The 18711-nt window shown below is 41.2% G+C and overlaps 1 pseudogene, besides 1 other annotated feature; it reads left to right on the top strand.

Moving 5' to 3' along the window:
- Positions 8-167: an enhancer, noted in NCBI's record as "active region_26833". NCBI's record gives its function as "activates an Ori minimal core promoter by ATAC-STARR-seq in GM12878 lymphoblastoid cells {active_cell/tissue: GM12878}" and the evidence as "EXISTENCE:reporter gene assay evidence [ECO:0000049][PMID:35858748]".
- STRADBP1 (STE20-related kinase adaptor beta pseudogene 1) lies at positions 714-2785 on the top strand (annotated as a pseudogene).

Below are 18711 nucleotides of genomic sequence, written 5' to 3'. Positions count from 1 at the left end.
TAATCTGGTGATTGCTTCAGTTTTGCCCGGTTGAAACGTTTTGCCCATGGGCCTGCTATAAACACCATTTCCAAAGCTACATTTTTCGCTTCAGGTTATAGTGATGGATGCAAAAGAGCCTTATTAAATGACCCAAATATTGCCTAGAAAACAAGGCACAGGACCTGATTGTCTTCCCAGGGTGGAGTGGGAGGCTGAGGGGTGATTTGGGGAAGAAGAGAGACAGGCATATACCTTGCCATTTCCAAGCGTAGAGCTGGGGGTTCTTAGTGATTGTATAATATGGGTTTTTTATTATAGTCTTTCAGGAAGGCCTCAAGTTACTCATTCAAAAGTTAACAGCACTGAGGCTCAAAGGCAGAGTCTAAATCATTAGGAACCAAGGGAAAAAAAGGAAGGTGACGCCTGGAAAAATAATCTGCCCATGAACACATAGTTTCTCTAGTTGCTTTTCGTATAATTCTTCCAAGTTTGAAAATATGCATGACCTAACAAGTAAAGATGCACCCAAGGAATAGATCCTACATCCCTTCCCCACCTTCCTCTCTACCCCACATCTTCCTACCCCAGTCTCAGGCAGAGACAGATTTTCCAGAATTTACCCAGTGGATGGTTCCAATCTGCTCTGGAGGTTTCTTGAGGTGAGAGGCAGGTTCCCAAAGCTCTCACGGTTGACCAGATATTCCAGTTGGCTACGTAAGAATACTATGTTTAGAGTTCCAAGCCCACAGCCCCTGTCGCGGCCTTGCCACCCTCCAGCGCCCCACGCCAGGAGTGGGCCTAGAGCGCTCGCCTTGCCCCTCTGTGATCCGGGCTCCGGCACCCGCCCAGGTCCGCACCACTGGCAGCCTGTAGGGAGTCGCTGGCCGTCGTCGCCGCTAAGTAGGATATATCTGCATCTTCAAAGGAAGATAAAACAAAAGCCTTCTTTGGAATATTTGGATTTTTGTCACTTTCTGTGAGCTTTAGTTCAAGAACACAAGTTGAATCACTCAAACATGAAAAACAAGTCTGAAACCAGTATCCATCAATACTTGGTCGAAGAGCCAACCCTTTCCTGGTCGCCTCCATCCACTAGAGCCAGTGAAGTAGTATGTTCCGCCAACGTTTCTCACTACGAGCTCCAAGTAGAAATAGGAAGAGGATTTGACAAGTTGACTTCTGTCCATCTAGCACGGCATACTCCTACGGGAACGCTGGTAACTACAAAAATTACAAATCTGGAAAACGGCAATAAAGAACGCCTGAAAGTTTTACAGAAAGCCATGATTCTATCCCACTTTTTCCGGCATCCCAATATTACAACTTATTGGACAGTTTTCACTGTTGGCAGCTGGCTTTGGGTTATTTCTCCATTTATGGCCTATGGTTCAGCAAGACAACTCTTGAGGACCTATTTTCCTGAAGGAATGAGTAAAACTTTAATAAGAAACATTCTCTTTGGAGCAGTGAGAGGATTGAACTATCTCTACCAATATGGCTGTATTCACAGGAGAATTAAAGCCAGCCATATCCTCATTTCTGGTGATGGCCTAGTGACCCTCTCTGGCCTGTCCCATCTGCATAGTTTGGTTAAGCATGGACAGAGGCATAGGGCTGTGTATGATTTCCCACAGTTCAGCACATTAGTGCAGCCATGGCTGAGTCCAGAACTACTGAGACAGGATTTACATGGGTATAATGTGAAGTCAGATATTTACAGTGTTGGGATTACAACATGTGAATTAGCCAGTGGGCAGGTGCCTTTCCAGGACGTGCATAGAACTCAGATGCTGTTAACAGAAACTGAAAGGTCCCCCTTATAGCCCATTGGATATCAGTATTTTCCCTCAATCAGAATCCAAAATGAAAAATTCCCGGTCAGGTGTAGACTCTGGGATTGGAGCAAGTGTGCTTGTCTCCAGTGGAACTCACACAGTAAATAGTGACCGATTACACACACCATCCTCAAAAACCTTCTCTCCTGCCTTCTTTAGCTGGGTACAGCTGTGTTTGCAACAAGATCCGGAGAAAAGGCCATCAGCAAGCAGTTTATTGTCCCATGTTTTCTTCAAACAGATGAAAGAAGAAAGCCAGGATTCGGTACTTTCACTGTTGCCTCCTGCTTATAACAAGCCATCAATATCACTGCCTCCGGTGTTACCTTGGACTGAGCCAGAATGTGGTTTTCCTGATGAAAAAGATTCATATTGGGAATTCTAGCTAGGGCTGGCAAATCATCTTATGTCCTATATACTTGACACTTTCTCCTTGCTGCTTTTTCTTCTGTATTGCTAGGTACAAATACCAGAATTATACTTGAAAATACAGTTGGTGCACTGGAGAATCTATTCAAATCACTCTGTTCAAAGGGGCATCAGTTTGTAGTCCCTTTGGTTCACACAGAGTGCTATGACAACTCCAAGGAAACATCAGAACTACTAACCTAGCTAGTTAGTGTTATTTATTCAGGAAATTTTTCTAAGCTGTGGCTAACTGTCTTGATCTCTCAATATAATTTTTGAGCCAGTTAATTTTTTCAATATTTTGCTGTCCTCTTGGGAATGGTCCTTCAAAGGATAGTGCTTCTAAGTACATCTTCTTCTCCCAGATTGTCTGGCCTTTTTAATGAGCTATTGTTAAACCAACAGGCTAGTTTATCTTGCATCAGACCCTTTTATGGTAGAGGGAAAATGTCTTTACTTTCCCTTTTTCTTCTGTTAATACTTATGGTAACATCTAACTCAGCCTCACTCACATTAAGTGATTCGCTTGAAATGTATTAAAAAAGAATACTGTGTTTAAAAATAAAAATAAAAAAAGAACATTATGTTTTTGATTTTGTGTGTATGTGTATGTGTGTGTGTGCACAAAACTCGGGGCTTTTCTTCTGCCGCCATGATGCTAAATCAATGCAAAGCTTAACTTATTAAGATAGTGCACAAATAATAACAGGAGATGAAAGGTATAGTACTGTCCTAGCTCTTACACAGATTATGTAACCTTGGAGTATCAGCTTCCTATTGCTATCATGACAAATTACCAAAAATGTAGTGGCCTAAAACAACATAAAATTTTCCTCTTACAGTTCTGGAAGTCAGAAGTCCAAAATGAGTGTTATGGGGATAAAATCAGGCTAATTAGCAGGGTACCTTCTAGAGGCTCCACGAGAGAATCTGTTCCTGGCCTCTTCCAGCATCTCTATGCTACTAGTGTTCTTTGGCTTGTGGCCACGTCGCACCAATCTCTCCTGCCATCTTCACATTGTCTTCCTTCTTTGACTTTCTTGTTTCCCCCTTAGAAAGATCTTTGTGTTTACATTTAAACCCACCTAGATAATCCAGGATAATCTCCTCACTGTGAAAGCCTTAATTTAATCACATCTGCAAAGACTGCTCTGCTATATAAAGCAACAGTCACTTGTTCCTCCCAATATCAAGTCTGTATTAGTTTCCGGGGCTGCTGTAACAAATTACCACAAACTGGGTAGCTTAAAACAAGAAAAAATTATCATCTCACAGTTCTTGAGGCCACAAGGTGTCAACAGGGCCACACTCTCTCTGAAGACTCTAGGGGAGGATCCTTCCTTGCCTCTTTCTGGCTTCTAGTGGTTTCTGGCAATCCTTGCTACTCTTTGACTTGTAGATGCATCCTTCCAATCTCTGCCTCCAGAGTTACACGGTTTTCTCCCCTGTGTGCTTATTCAAATTTCACTCATTTTCTAAGGAAAAAAGTCATTGGATTAGAAGAGCTTGCCCCACAGCCTCATCTTAATTTGATTACATCACAAAGACTATTCCCAAATAAGGTCACATTCTCAAGTCCTAGGGGTTAGATCTTGAACATTTCTTTTAGTGGATACAATTCTAAATTGTGATAGAAAATTGGTGGTTAAATAAGAAAGGACAGTGTATGCATTTTGAGAGTGAAACACCCTAGATCTCTTCCTTTGCAGTCCCAGTTGCAATGAATTGGTGAAGCCCATGCGGACAGTCCATGTCATGGTAGTTGGGAAGTTCTTACTGCATAAGGTTTAGCATCCTTATTGCTTAGCCTGGAATTCAGCTATTGTTACAGTGTTTCAATCTTTCTTTCTGGGCCAAATCTTCCTCTATTCCTCTCCTTGAGAGGCAACTTAATGTTTCAGTGCAGCTCTGCTTACCTAAAATTCCAATCACAGTTCCTGTTAATACCTATTTTACATAGCTGAAGGAGACAGAGGTATAAAGGCAGTTTCTGAAATAGCACAGGTGCTCAGCAAATGCTTTTAATGATCCTGTCTTAGTCTGTGTGGACTGCTATAACAAAATACTGTAGAATGAGTAATTTATAAGCAACAGAAATTTGTTTCTCACAGTTCTGGAGGCTGAGAAATCCAAGATCAAAGTATTGACAGGTTTGTTATCTGGTGATGGTGTGTTTCCTGATTCATAGATGGTGCCTTCTTGCTGTGTCCCCACATGGTGGAAGGGGCGGGGAGCCTCTCTCTAACCTGTTATAAGGGCACTAACTCCATTCACGAGGGCTCCACCATGATGACCTAAGTACCTCCCAAAGGCCCTACCTCTTAATACCATCACTTCAGGATTAGGTTTCAATACATGAATTTGGAAGAGGATACACAAACATTCAGACCCCAGCAGATCCCTCCTCAAGTCATTTAATCTTCTCTGTGTCTCATAGTCCCACTACTGAGGCTTTGCTTGTGGTATTTCTCTGTGTTTCCTGTTAAAGTAAAATTAGGAAAAAAAAAAAAAAAGCAAGGTCATGACTTTCATGCAAATTTAAAATACATGCATGTAAAAGATTTTACTTAACTTATTGATTAACGAGAAAACCAGTAAGACATTATAATTAGTTCAAAGGACATTTGAGAATCTTGGGTAATTTGTAGGGGGATAAGATTTCCCTTGTGCCCATTTAATGACTGTTCCTAAGATAGTCATTGTATTAGCCCGTTCTTGCACTCCTATAAAGAAATTCCTGCAACTGGGTAATTTATAAAGAAATGAGGTGTAATTGGCTCACAGTTCCACAGGCTGTGCAGGAAGCATGATGGCTTCTTGGGAGACCTCAGGAAACTTTCAATATGTTGGAAGGAAAAGGGGAAGCATGCACATCTTACAAGGCTGGAGCAGGAGCAAGAGTGGAAGGCGGCAGTGCTACACACTTTTAAACAACCAGATCTCATGAGAACTTACCCACTATCGCAAGAACAGCATCAAGGGATGGTGCCAAACTGTTCCTGAAGGACCACCCCCATGACCCAATCACCTCCTACCAGGCCCCACCTCCAATATTGGGGATTACAATCTGGCATGAGATTTGGGCGGGGACACAGACCTAAACCATATCAGCCATAAAATGTAATTTTGGGGTATACGTTCTGCCAGACAAAAAAATTATTTACTTGTCTATAAGCAAAATTGCAAGTTACCTCTCAACAGAGTTGAGTATCTTAGACAGTAGTCAAGCCTCGCATCACACAGAAAGAATACCCAATAATGCCTTTTGCTTATTTCCACATGTTGGATCATTTTAATGTCATTTTCTACCTTGTGATCATACATAATCTCCAACAATTATTCTTGATCCCTCAATGCCATTATTATGTACAGCTTGGTTATTTACATATATACAGCAAGAGTTTTAATTAGCCAGATAGGCCTTCCTAAGCTTGCTCAGGAAATCCAGAGCCTAACAGCATTAAATAACTACCAATGCCAAAGAATGAACTTCTATTTGGAAATTTTCAAAATGAATCTTGAAAAGTTCTATTATTTGTTTTTCTATCACAAATGTAGAAAACCAAGACAAAGACACTTTTTCCAATAGATTTTTCATGCAGTTCTTATAAATGTAGGTGAATTTTCCTTTTTTGTGAGGTCTCCAAAATTTGCAGAGGTTCCCAGCGTGACAGGTAGTGGACTGACTTACTGCCTGTGAGACGAGGAGCCTAGATGACAGCTACCATGTTAATTTTCTTGGGAGGGTTTTGAAGGGTTTTGGAGGCATTAGCCTCACATAGAATGTTAATCACTATTCCTCAGTAGTGGCCTTATTGTACCTGATTAAGTGAAAACCACTCTCAGACATCACACTCTAGATATGGCCCTAGTGCCGGTGTCCCTGGGTGCCTTCATCACCCATCATCTATCCGACGGTCCAGATAGAAGACAAACTGGGTCAGGCCCAATGTCTGTACCCACATTGATCCCTGCCTGAAGGAAGGTATGTTTTGTAGCAAAGGCTTATGATTTTGCCTTTTTTGAAGACTTAGGAGGGAAGTGTTTTCAGATACACAGGCAGAGGAGGAGCTGCTGAACCATGAATCAACAGCATCTGAGAACTTTCATATCTGCTAATAAGGCACAGTCCTTTCTTGGAATTGGAGGCTGAGGCTGTCTGCAGTGCATAGGTAACATGAGGTAAGTGCTTTCCAAGCCCGCCAACTCTGTCTCTCCCTTTAGGGCCTTCAGTTCTATTTATGTATCTGGACACCTATGATGTGAAATTGTATAATACGTGAGCTTAAGGAGACCAAACCACGATCCTGGGACTGACATCAAGAGTATTACCATTACCATTACTATTGCTGACACCACTGCTACTAGCTGACACTTGCTGATCACTTACTGTATGCTGAGTACCCTTCTCACCCCTTTATAGATACTACAGGCACACCTCAGAGATATTGCAAGTTCAATGCCAGCAACTGCAATAAAGCAAATGTAACTATAAAAAGAGCCACATGAATTTTTTGGTTTCTCAGGGCATATAAAAGTTATGTTTATACTACACCGTAATCTATTACATGTGCAATAGCATTATGTCTAGAAAACAATATATGCGCTTTAATTTAAAAATACTTTATTGCTAAAAGATGCTAACAATCCTCCGAGCCTTCAGTGAGTCATAATCTTTCTGCTGGTGGAGGGTCTTGCCTCAGTATTGATAGCTGCTGATTGATCAAGATGGTGATTGCTGAAGGCTGGGGTGGCTGTAGCAATTTCCTAAACTAAGATAACAATGAGGTTTGTCACATAGAATGACTCTTCCTCTCACAAAATGTTTCTCTGTAGCATGTGTGATGCTGTTTGATCGCATTTTAAGCATAGTAGAACTTGTTTCAAAATTGAAGTCAATCTTCTCAAACCCTGCTGCTGTTTATCAAGTTTATTTAATATTCTAAATCCTTTGTTGTCATTTCATAATGTTCACAGCATCTTCGCCAAAAGTAGTTTTTTTTTTTTTGAGATGAAGAAGGAGATTTTATTTATTTTTTATTTCAATAGGTTTTGGGGGGTTGGGTAGTGTTTGGTTACAGGGATAGGTTCTGTAGTGGTGATTTCTGAGATTTTGGTGCCATCACCTGAGCAGTGTACACTGTGCCCAGTGTGTAGGCTTTTATTCTTCACCTCCCTCCCACCCTTTCCCCAAGTCCCCAAAGTCCATTGTATCATTCTTATGCCTTTTCATTCTCATAGTGTCATTTCCATCTCAAGAAATCAGTTTCTTTTCTCATCCATAAGAAGCAGCTCCTCATCCATTCAAGTTTTATCATGAGATTGCAGCAATTCAGTCACATCTTCAGCCTACATTCTTCTTTTGTTGTTGTTAGAGACAGGGTCTCACTCTGTCACCCAGGCTTGAGTACAGTAGTGTGATCATAGCTCACTGCAGCCTTGAGCTCCTGGGCTCAAGTGATGCTCACACCTCAGCCTCCCAAGCAGCTGGGACTACAGGCACACACCACCATGTCTTACTAATTATTTTTTTTTTTGTTGAGACAGGATCTCACTGTGTTGCCCAGTGTGGTCTCAAACTCCTAGTTTCAAGTGATCCTCCTGCCTTGGCCTCCCAAAGTGCTAGGATTACAGGCATGAACCAACACACCTGGCCTCCACTTCTAATTCTACTTCTCTTGCTACCTCCACCACATCTGTAGTGATTCCCTCCAATGAAGTCTCGAACCCCTCCAAGTCATCTATGAGGGTTGGAATCAACTTCTTCCAAACTGTTGTTAACATTAATATTTTTATCTCCTCTCATGAATCATGAATGTTGTTAATGGTATCTAGAATGGTGAATCCTTCCCAGAAAGTTTTCAATTTACTTTGCCCAGGTTTATCAGAAGAATCACTATTTATGGCAACTATAGCCTTATAAAATATATTTCTTAAATAATAAGGCTCAAAAGTCAAAATTATCCTTGATCCATGAGCTGCAGAAGGGATGTTGTATTAGCAGGCATGAAATCTCCTTGTATATCTCCATAAGAGATCTTGGGTGACCAAATGCTTTGTCAATGAGCAGTAATATTTTGAATCTTTTTTTCTAAACAGAAGTATCAACAGTGGGCTTAAAATATTCAGTAAGCGGTGGGGGGGTCAGCCCCCCGCCCGGCCCGCCGCCCCGTCCGGGAGGGAGGTGGGGGGGTCAGCCCCCCGCCCGGCCAGCCGCCCCGTCCGGGAGGTGAGGGGCACCTCTGCCCGGCCACCCCTACTGGGAAGTGAGGAGCCCTTCTGCCCGGCCACCACCCCGTCTGGGGTGTACCCAACAGCTCATTGAGAACAGGCCATGATAACAATGGCGGTTTTGTGGAATAGAAAAGGGGGAAAGGTGGGGAAAAGATTGAGAAATCGGATGGTTGCTGTGTCTGTGTAGAAAGAGGTAGACATGGGAGACTTTTCATTTTGTTCTGTACTAAGAAAAATTCTTCTGCCTTGGGATCCTGTTGATCTATGACCTTACCCCCAACCCTGTGCTCTCTGAAACATGTGCTGTGTCCACTCAGGGTTAAATGGATTAAGGGCGGTGCCAGATGTGGTTTGTTAAACAGATGCTTGAAGGCAGCAGGCTCCTTAAGAGTCATCACCACTCCCTAATCTCAAGTACCCAGGGACACAAACACTGCGGAAGGCCGCAGGGTCCTCTGCTTAGGAAAACCAGAGACCTTTGTTCACTTGTTTATCTGCTGACCTTCCCTCCACTATTGTCCTATGACCCTGCCAAATCCCCCTCTGCGAGAAACACCCAAGAATGATCAATAAAAAAAGAAAAAAAAAAAAAAAATTCAGTAAGCCGTGCTATAAACAGATATGCTGTCATCAGGCTTTGTTGTTCCATTTATAGAGCACAGGAAGAATAGATTGAACATAATTCTTAAAAGCTCTAAGGTTTTTTGGAATGGTAAGTGAGCATTGACTTCAACTTAAAGTCATCAGCTGCATCAGCCCCTAATGAGAGAGTCAGCCTGCCCTTTGAAGCCTTGGAGCCAGGCATTGACTTCTCCACTCAAGCAATGAAAGTCCTGGATGTATAATCTTCCTACAAAAGTCTGCTTTGTCTCCATTGAAAATCTGTTGTTTATTGTAGCCACCTTCATCAGTGATCTAAATTAGATCCCCTGGATAACTTGCTGCAGCTTCTCCATCAGCACTTGCTGCTTCGCCTTCCACTTTTATGTAATGGGGACAGGTCATTTCCTTAAACCTCATGAACCAACATCTGCTAGCTTCAAACTTATTTCCTGCAGCTTCCTCACCTCTGTCAGACTTTATAAAATTGTGGGGTCCTTGCTCTGAATTAGACTGTGGCTTAAGGGAATGTTGCGGCTGGCTTAATCTTCTATCCAGACCAATAAAACTTTCTTCATATCAGCAGTAAGGCTGTTTAGCTTTCTTATCATTCATATATTCACTGGAGTAGCACTTTTAATTTCCTTCAATTACTTTTCCTTTGCATTCAAACTTGGCTAATTGTTTGGTGCAAGAGGTCTAGCTTTTGGCCTGTCTCAGCTTTTCACATACCTGCCCCACTAAGCTTCATCATTTCTAGCTTTTGGTTGAAGGTGAGAAATGTGCAACTCTGCCTTGCATTTGAACACTTAGAGGCCACTGTAATGTTATTAACTGACTTGATTTCAATATTGTTGTGTCAGGGAATAGGGAAGCCTGAGGCAAGGGTGAGAGACAAGGGAACAGCTGCATGGTGGAGCAGTCAGAACACACAATGATCAACTAGTTCATCATCTTGTAAGGCGCAGATTGTGGCACCCCAAAACAATTACAATAGGGACATCATAGATCACTGATCCCAAATCATCAGGACAGATAATAGTGAAAACGTTTGAAATACTGTGAGAATTGTCAAAAAGTGACACAGACACAAAAAAGTGAACACTTGCTGTTGGGAAAATGGCACCAACAGACTTGTTTGATGCAGGGTTGCCACAAATCTTCAATTTGTAAAAAGCGCATCATCCACAAAGTGCAATGAAATGAGGTACAATAAAGTGAAGTGCACCTGTACATCCTTCCTCATTCCTCATCCCACACATCTGGCCCAGATGGAACATGAAAGTCTCACTGATGAGAGAAGCAGCTGTGGCTTTCTCCGAAGGTCATTTTAGACACTACCTGAGACTGTTCCTCGGGGACTTTTCATTTGCCAGGTCTCTCTGACTCTGCAGGTGCCTTCAACCCACTCCCTTTTACTTTACCCTTTCCAAACTCAGATCCTTTTGCAGAAGTATTTAACTTTTGTCATCAATTTATATACACCAAGACCAAAAAAAGTGTTACCTTTAAAGACAGACATAGGAAATTAAGGTGTGCAAACAGACCTTTGAATCCTATGAGGAGCAGGCAGACAATTGAAACAGGAAGAGCTGAGCAGGTTATAAGGCCACCTCTGCCTAAAAGCATGTCCCAGTCTCACCAGCAGGAGCCAATTGCCTACTCTTACAGAATTCCCAATTTATATCAAAACAACTGTTTTATCACTAAAGAGGAGGGTTTTATCCCTTAAAGTAAAACAAAACAAGCTTTAATGCAATTGAATATACAGGGGCCTTCTCCCTGGGGCACACTGTCAGCACAAGATTACTAACTTTATCTGAGTTGTTTAAGAGTAAACAGTATCTTTCTGTCAGCCCCATGACACCTGTTTTGTTCCATGACCTTCAGTAGTAGATTCTCATGTTAGCATATCAGTACTGGATGTCTCCCATTACTATACAAAATGCAGTGTCAGCGGAAAAGTGTGTGCGTCTGATTCTGCCACTAGTAATATCTACGGCTTTGAAGGGAAAACATAATGTTACTAAGCCCCAGTATCTTTAGGCCTTACCAAATTAGTACAAATTCCCAGACTCTCTCAAATCATGAGCCCTGGCCCACCTACCCACAGTACTTCTCGGATGTTGGTCAGAACGTAGTTACAAACCTATAAGGTGGTATGTTGGTCAGAATATAGTTATAAACCTACAAAGTGGTGCAGAGAACAATAATCCTCAAAGGGAGACCACAAGGGACAGAACAGTCCTGGGACTTCTCTTGAAGAGTCCGACACGAGGGAGCAATATTAGCACAAGCCCTCTTCTCCCAGTGCTATCGAGTCCCTGTGGTCATATGAGTAATGTGCAGACAGTTACAGATACCAGCTTTATTTGTTACTTGGCACAGAACAGCCAAGGAAGCATGAAGCAAGGAAGCAGGTATTTGTCTTCCATAGGTTTCTGCTACTCTCACCACATCCTAGATTCCTTCCATACTTGCCTACACAGTCTTTATAGCCCCACCCCTCTAAAACCCAGGATTTGCTTATACGCTCCTGAATTCTTCACCATTCCATAATACTAATGGTGGAAGCAAAAGATGCTTAGCAGAACAGAAATTGGGAAAATAATTAAGAGGTTGCCATAGCCACCAGATAGCATTCAGTATCTTACCCTCTCTCTAGAATTTATAATTAGGTTTGTGCAATTTCCACTATTATCTTAATTTCCTCATTTTGTTTTCAATTTAACTCCCTTTCTTTTTCTGTTTCCCATAATCACTTACATCCTCAAGAAATGAGCTATAAGTTGATTTATTGTAAATTCACTCATTCATTTAAGAAACAAATGCATCCTGCCTCAGCCACAGCCATTTCCTGCCTTACCTCCTCCCCATTCTGTTTTACCCATCACTTAAAGCTGTGGTCATATCACAGGCTAGAAAGGTTATGCTACAAGGCCCATGTCTCCATCTTTGCATCTGCTAAAGTATTCAGAAGAAATTTGAAAGAGACAGACAGGGCCAAGAAGAAATATCACCATGGAGATTGCTTTCAACTGTGCTCTGTCTCCTCCTTTGGTCCCTCTTCCAGTTGGTGCTGGCCCAGAGATGAGGCAGAAGAGTTTTCCTCTGAGTCTCCAAACCCACACCAGTGCCTTACTCAGAGGTGCAATCATTATCATTTTGGACTCTGATGTGAGCTAAACAAAATAAAAATTGCTGTCAATTGGAACAGGTGCTTATGTGTGTTGCTACTTTTCTAAGTCCTAACAATGAAGTTCTGAAAACTTACATAGCTAATAAACAGTGGAGCAGGCTCAATGTTTTTTAATTGTTTGTTATGAAGAAAGATAATTTGAAAATAGTATTTAAATGACACATTTCTAAGCTGTGAAATATTATAAATGACTATCTGGAAATATAAAGAGGCATCAGCAGTTCTCTTTTTTTATTGTTATATATTCTTATTTTTTAAATATACTTTAAGTTCTAGGGTACATGCCCACAACGTGCAGGTTTGTTACGTATGTATACATGTGCCATGTTGGTATGCTGCACCCAACAACTCGTCATTTACATTATGTATTTCTCCTAAAGCTATCCCTCCCATATCCCCCACTGCACGACAGGCCCCAGTGTGTGATGTTCACCGCCCTGTATCCAAGTGTTCTCATTATTCAATTTCCACCTATGAGTGAGAACATGTGGCATTTGGTTTTCTGTCCTTGAAATAGTTTCCTCAGAATGATGGTTTCCAGCTTCATCCATGTCCCTACAAAGGACATGAACTCATCCTTTTTTATGGCTGCATAGTATTCTGTGGTATATATGTGCCACATTTTCTTAATCCAGTCTATCATTGATGGACACTTGGGTTGGTTCCAAGTATTTACTATTGTGAATAGTGCCACAATAAACATACATGTGCATGTGTCTTTGTAGTAGCATGATTTATAATCCTTTGGGTATATACCCAGTAATGGGATGGCTGGGTCAAATGGTATTTCTTGTTCTAGATCCTTGAGGAATCACCACACTGTCTTCCACAATGGTTGAACAAATTTATACTCCCACCAACAGGGTAAAAGCATTCCTATTTCTCCACATCCTCTCCAACACCTGTTGTTTCCTCATATTTTAATGATCACCATTCTAAATGGTGTGAGATGGTATCTCATTGTGGTTTTGATTTTCATTTCTCTGATGACCGGTGATGATGAGCATTGTTTTCATGTGTCTGTTGGCTGCATAGATGTCTTCTTTTGAGAAGTGTCTGTTCATATCTTTGCCCACTTTTGTATGGGGCTGTTTGATTTTTTTCTTGTAAGTTTGTTTCAGTTCTTTGTAGATTCTGGATATTAGCCCTTTGTCAGATGGGTAGATTGCAAAAATTTTCTCCCATTCTATAGGTTGCCTGTTCACTCTGATGGTAGTTTCTTTTGCTGTGCAGAAGTTCTTTAGTTTAATTAGATCCCATTTGTCAATTTTGGCTTTTGTTGCCATTGTTTTTGGTGTTTTAGTCATGAAGTCCTTGCCCATGCCTATGTCCTGAATGGTATTGCCTAGGTTTTCTTCTAGGGTTTTTATGGTTTTAGATCTAACATTTAAGTCTTTAATCCATTTTGAATTAATTTTTGTATAAGGTATAAGGAAGGGATCCAGTTTCAGCTTTCTACATATGTCTTGCCAGTTTTCCCAGCACCATTTATTAAATAGGGAATCCTTTCCCCATTTCTTCTTTTTGCCAGGTTTGTCAAAGATCAGATAGTTGTAGATGTGTGGTGTTATTTCCGAGGGCTCTGTTCTGTTCCATTGGTCTATAACTCTGTTTTGGTACCACTACCATGCTGTTTCAGTTACTGAAGCTTTGTAGTATAGTTTGAAGTCAGGTAGCGTGATGTCTCCAGCTTTGTTCTTTTGGCTTAGGATTGTCTTGGCAAGGCAGGCTCTTTGTTGGTTCCATATGGACTTTAAAATAGTTTTTTTCAATTCTGTGAAGAAAGTCATTGCTAGCTTGATGGGGATGGCATTGAATCTATAAATTACCTTGGGCAGTATGGCCATTTTCACGATATGAATTCTTCCTACACATAAGCATGGAATGTTCTTCCATTTGTTTGTGTCTTCTTTTATTTCATTGAGCAGTGGTTTGTAGTTCTCCTTGAAGGGGTGCTTCACATCCATTGTAAGTTGGATTCCCAGGTATTTTATTCTCTTTGAAGCAATTGTGAATGGGAGTTCACTCATGATTTGGCTTTCTGTCTGTTATTGGGGTATAGGAATGCTTGCGATTTTTGCACATTGATTTTGTATCCTGAGACTTCACTGAAGTTGCTTATCAGCTTGAGGAGATTTTGGGCTGAGACGATGGGGTTTTCTAAGTATACAATCATGTCATCTGCAAACAGGGACACTTTGACTTCCTCTTCTCCTAACTGAATACCCTTTATTTCTTTCTCTTGCCTCACTGCCCTGGCCAGAACTTCCAACACTATGTTGAATAGGAGTGGTGAGAGAGGGCATCCCTGTCTTGTGCTGATTTTCAAAGGGAATGCTTCCAGTTTTTGCCCATTCAGTATGATATTGGCTGTGAGTTTGATATAAATAGCTCTTATTATTTTGAGATATGTTCCATCAATACCTAGTTTATTGAGAGCTTTTAGCATGAAGGCTGTTGAATTTTGTCAAAGTCCTTTTCTGCATCTATTGAGATAATCGTGGTTTTTTTACCTTGGTTCTGTTTATGTGATGGATTACATGTATTGATTTGCGTATGTTGAACCAGCCTTGCATCCCAGGGATGAAGCAGACTTGATCTTGGTGGATAAGCTTTTTCATGTGCTGCTGGATTCATTTTGCCAGTATTTTATTGAGGATTTTTGCCTCGACGTTCATCAGGGATATTGGTCTAAAATTTTCTTTTTTTGTTGTGTTTCTGCCAGGCTTTGGTATCAGGATGATGCTGGCCTCATAAAATGAGTTAGGGAGGATTTCCTCCATTTCTATTGATTGGAATAGTTTCAGAAGGAATGGTACCAGCTCCTCTTTCTACCTCTGGTAGAATTTGGCTGGGAATCCATCTGGTCCTGGACATTTTTTGGTTGGTAGGCTCTTAATTATTTCCTCAATTTCAGAGCCTATTATTGGCCTATTCAGAGATTCAACTTCTTCCTGGTTTAGTCTTGGGAGGGTGTATGTGTCGAGGAATTTATCCATTTCTTCCAGATTTTCTAGTTTTGCATAGAGGTGTTTATAGTATTCTCTGATGGTAGTTTGTATTTCTGAGGGATGGGTGGTGATATCCCTTTTATCATTTTTTATTGCATCTATTTGATTCTTCTCTCTTTTCTTCTTTATTAGTCTTGCTAGTGGTCTATCAATTTTGTTGATCTTTTCAAAAAACGAGCTCCTGCATTCATTGATTTTTTGAAGGTTTTTTGTGTCTCTGTCTCCTTCATTTCTGCTCCGATCTTAGTTATTTCTTGCCTTCTGCTAGCTTTTGAATGTGTTTGCTCTTGCTTCTCTAGTTCTTTCAATTGTGATGTTAGGGTGTCAATTTTAGGTGTTTCCTGCTTTCTCTTGTGGGCATTTAGTGCTATGAATTTCCCTCTACACACTGCTTTAAACGTGTCCCAGAGATTCTGGTACGTTGTGTCTTTGTTCTCATTGGTTTCAAAGAACATCTTTATTTCTGCCTTCATTTCGTTATGTACCCAGCAGTTATTAAGGAGCAGGTTGTTCAGTTTCCATGTAGTTGTGTGGTTTTGAGTGAGCTTCTTAATCCTGAGTTCTAATTTGATTGCACTGTGGTCTGAGAGACAGTTTGTTATAATTTCTGTTCTTTTACATTTGCTGATGAGTGCTTTACTTCCAACTACGTGGTCAATTTTGGAATAAGTGTGATGTGGTGCTGAGAAGAATGTATATTCTGTTGATTTGGGTTGGAGAGTTCTGTAGATGTCTATTAGGTCTGCTTGGTGCAGAGCTGAGTTCAAGTCCTGGATATTCTTCTTAACTTTCTGTCTCATTGATCTGTCTAATATTGACAGTGGGATGTTAAAGTCTCCCATTATTATTGTGTGGGAGTCTAAATCTTTTTGTAAGTCTCTAAGGACTTGCTTTATGAATCTGGTTGCTCCTGTATTGGGTGCATATATATTTAGGATAGTTAGCTCTTCTTGTTGAATTGATCCCTTTACCATTATGTAATGGCCTTCTTTGTCTCTTTTGATCTTTGTTGTTTTAAAGTTGTTTTTATCAGAGACTAAGATTGCAACTCCTGCTTTTTTTGCTTTCCATTTGCTTGGTATTACTTCCTCCATCCCTTTATTTTGAGCCTATGTGTGTCTCTGCATGTGAGATGGGTCTCCTGAAGACAGCACACTGATGGGTCTTGACTCGTTATCCAATTTGCCAGTCTGTGTCTTTTAATTGGGGCATTTAGCCCATCTACATTTAAGGTTAATATTGTTATGTGTGCATTTGATCCTGACATTATGATGTTAGCTGGTTATTTTGCCAGTTAGTTGATGCAGTTTCTTCCTAGCATAGATCGTCTTTACAATTTGGCATGTTTTTGCAGTGGCTGGTACCGGTTGTTCCTTTCCATGTTTCATGCTTCCTTCAGGAGCTCTTTTAGGGCAGGCCTGGTGGTGACAAAATCTCTCAATGTTTGCTTGTCTGTAAAGCATTTTATTTCTCCTTCATTTATGAAGCTTAGTTTGGCTGGATATCAAATTCTGGGTTGAAAATTCTTTACTTTAAGAATGTTGAATATTGGTCCCCACTCTCTTCTGGCTCATAGGGTTTCTGCTGAGAGATCCACTGTTAGTCTGATGGGCTTCCCTTTGTGGGTAACCCGACCTTTCTCTCTGGCTGCCCTTAACATTTTTTCCTTCATTTCAACCTTAGTGAATCTGACATTTATGTGTCTTGTGGTTGCTCTTCTCAAGGAATATCTTTGTGATGTTCTCTGTATTTCCTGAATTTGGATGTTGGCCTGCCTTGCTAGGTTGGGGAAGTTCTCCTGGATAATATCCTGGAGAGTGTTTTCTAGCTTTGTTCCATTCTCCCCGTCACTTTCAGGTACACCAATCAAACGTAGATTTGGTCTTTTCACATAGTCCCATATTTCTTGGAGGCTTTATTTCTTTTTACTCTTTTTTGTCTAAACTTGTCTTCTCACTTCATTTCATCAATTTGATCTTCAATCACTGATAGCCTTTCTTCCACTTGATTGAATCAGCCACTGAGGCTTGTGCATTTATCACGTAGTTCTCATGCCATGGTTTTCAGCTCTGTCAGGTAACTGAAGGTCTTCTCTACACTGTTGATTCTAGTTGGCCATTCATCTACTCTTTTTTCAAGGTTTTTAGCTTCCTTGTGATGGGTTCGAACATCCTCCTTTAGCTCGGAGAAGTGTGTTATTACCAACCTTCTGAAGCCTACTTCTGTAAACTCGTTAAAGTCATTCTCCGTCCAGCTTTGTTCCATTGCTGGCGAGGAGCTGTGATTCTTTGGAGGAGAAGAGGCCCTCTGGTTTTTAGAATTTTCGGCTTTTCTCCTCTGGTTTCTCCCCATCTTTGTGGTTTTATCTACCTTTGGTCTTTGATGATGGTGACCTACAGATGGGGTTTTGGTGTGGATGTCCTTTTTATTGATGTTGATGCTATTCCTTTCTGTTTGTTAGTTTTCCTTCTAACAGTCAAGTCCCTCAGCTGCAGGTCTGTTGGAGTTTGCTGGATGTCCACTCCAGACCCTGTTTGCCTGGGTATCACCAACAGAGGCAGCAGAACAGCAAATATTGCAGAACACCAAATATTGCTGCCTGATCCTTCCTCTGGAAGCTTCATCTCAGAGGGGCACCCAGCTCTATGAGGTGTCAGTCAGCCTCTACTGGGAGGTGTCTCCCAGTTAGGCTACACAGGGTCAGGGCCCCAGTTGAGAAGGCAGTCTGTCCATTCTCAGAGCTCAAACACCATGCTGGGAGAACCACTGCTCTCTTCAGAGCTGTCAGACAGGGACGTTTAAGTCCCTGCAGAAAAGGAGTTTCTGCTGCCTTTTGTTCAGGAGGCTGCCACCTTGCAGTTTGATCTCAGACTGCTGTGCTAGCAGTGAGCAAGGCTCCATGGGCTTGGGACCCACTGAGCCAGGCATGGGATATAATCTTCTGGTGTGCCGTTTGCTAAGACCATTCAAAAAGTGCAGTATTGGGGTGGCTGTGTCCTGATTTTCCCAGTACAGTCTTTCAAGGTGTCCCTTGGCTAGGAAAGGGAAATCCCCCAACCCCTATGCTTCCTGGGTGAGGCAAGGCCCTGCCCTGCTTCAGCTCATTCTCTGTGGGCTACACCCACTGTCCAACCAGTCCCAGTGAGATGAACCATGTACCTCAGTTGGAAATGCAGAAATCACCCATCTTCTGCATCGATCACGCTGGGAGCTGCAGACCGGAGCTGTTCCTATTCGGCCATCTTGGAACTGATCTTCAGCAGTTCTCTTATCCTTTACAAGCATAACACATTTGCATTTAGTGGAAGACCAAGGACTTCCACTAAATATAATATAAATATAATTTATGTATATTATAATATTAATATAATATATTTATATTATTTTATATATAAATATATATAAATATTTATATATATTTATAATATAAATAAATTATATT

Source organism: Homo sapiens, chromosome 7, assembly GCF_000001405.40.
Source record: "Homo sapiens chromosome 7, GRCh38.p14 Primary Assembly".
Taxonomy (NCBI): Eukaryota; Metazoa; Chordata; class Mammalia; order Primates; family Hominidae; genus Homo; species Homo sapiens.
The sequence above is the reverse complement of the archived record's forward strand: the minus strand, read 5'-3'. Positions and strand labels throughout refer to the sequence as shown.